Below are 1,605 nucleotides of genomic sequence, written 5' to 3'. Positions count from 1 at the left end.
CATCTATTCTGTGTACCATCGACCTTGAAATGTGTGGGCGGCAAGCCACCCGGGTGCCAAGGCAAGATACTGAAGGCACAAGCTGTTCCAGTATAATAAAGAAAATATACAAAATAAGAAGAGTTATAATAGAAATATAGATATGATTATATATGAATATTATTAATCATCAGTTTGTAGCATTACTCTTTATTCCAATATTATAATAATCCTTGCTCTACAATTATAACCTAGGAAAAACCAGGCCATACAGAGATAGGAGCTGAAGGGGCATGGTGAGAAGTGACCAGAAGATGAGTGTGAGCCCTCTGTCATGCCTGGATAGGGCCACTAGAGGGCTCCTTGGTCTAGCGGTAACGCCAGTGCCTGGGAAGGCAGCCGTTACTTAGCCGACCAAGAAAGGGAGTCTCCCTCTCTCCTGGGGAGTTAGAGAAGACTCTGCTCCACCACCTCCTGTGGAAGGCCTGACATCAGTCAGGCCCGCCCACAGCCATCGGGAGGCCTAAATGTCTCACTGTGATGCTGTGCTTCAGCGGTCACGCTCCTGTTTCACTTTCATGTTCCACCCTATACATCTGGTTCTGCCTTCAAGCAGTAGCAGAATTAGTGAAAGTACTAAAAAAGCCTTTGAAATGCATAGAATAATGGCCTAAGCTGTCCTCTCCGCCTTGGCTGCCAAACAGGGAAGGGCCCCCTCTCCCGTGGACACATGACTCACGTGACCTTATCAATCATTGGAAATGACTCACACTCCTTACCCTGCCCCTTTTGTCTTGTATCTAATAAATAACGGCGAAGCCAGGCATTCGGGGCTACTACCGGTCTCCCCGTCTTGGTGGTAGTGGTCCCCCGGGCCCAGCTGTCTTTTCTTCTATATCTTTGTCTTGTGTCTATTTCTATGATCTCCCGTCTCTGCACACGAGGAGAAAAACCCACAGACCCTGTAGGGCTGGCCCCTACAAAATGCTGCATTTTGGCTACATGATATGGTTTGGCTGTGTCCCCGTCCAAATCTATCTTGAATTGTAGCTCCCATAATTCCCATGTGTTGTGGGAGGAACCTGGTGAGAGATAATTGAATCATGGGGACAATTTCCCCCATACTGTTCTCGTGGGAGTGAATAAGTCTCACGAGACCTGATGGTGTTATAATGGGAAACCCCTTTCGCTTGGTTGTCATTCTCTGTCTGCCACCATGATTTGAGGCCTCCCCAGCCACGTGGAACTGTGAGTCCATTAAACCTCTTTTTCTTTAATAATTACTCAGTCTTGGGTGTGTCTTTATCAGCAGCATGAGAACAGACTAATACACTACGTTAATGAGGAAGTGCTATAGTTTACTAGGGTTCAGTTTAGTTCAACAAGTTTCCTAAATATCCAAAAGGGGTTAAACATGGTTCTAAGCTATGGGTAAATACAAATTGCTATATTTTAAAATTGCAGGCTGGGCGTAATCCCAGCACTTTTGGAGGCCGAGGTGGGCGGATCACGAGGTCAGGAGATCGAGATCATCCTGGCTAACATGGTGAAAACCCATCTCTACAAAAATTACAAAAATATAAAAAATTAGTCGGGGCGTGATGGCGGGCGCCTGTAGTCCCAGCT

The 1,605-nt window shown here is 46.2% G+C and overlaps 1 annotated feature.

Moving 5' to 3' along the window:
• Positions 360-649: an enhancer, noted in NCBI's record as "active region_22425". NCBI's record gives its function as "activates an Ori minimal core promoter by ATAC-STARR-seq in GM12878 lymphoblastoid cells {active_cell/tissue: GM12878}" and the evidence as "EXISTENCE:reporter gene assay evidence [ECO:0000049][PMID:35858748]".

The sequence above is a fragment of the Homo sapiens genome, chromosome 5, assembly GCF_000001405.40.
Source record: "Homo sapiens chromosome 5, GRCh38.p14 Primary Assembly".
Lineage (NCBI taxonomy): Eukaryota > Metazoa > Chordata > Mammalia > Primates > Hominidae > Homo > Homo sapiens.
The sequence above is the reverse complement of the archived record's forward strand: the minus strand, read 5'-3'. Positions and strand labels throughout refer to the sequence as shown.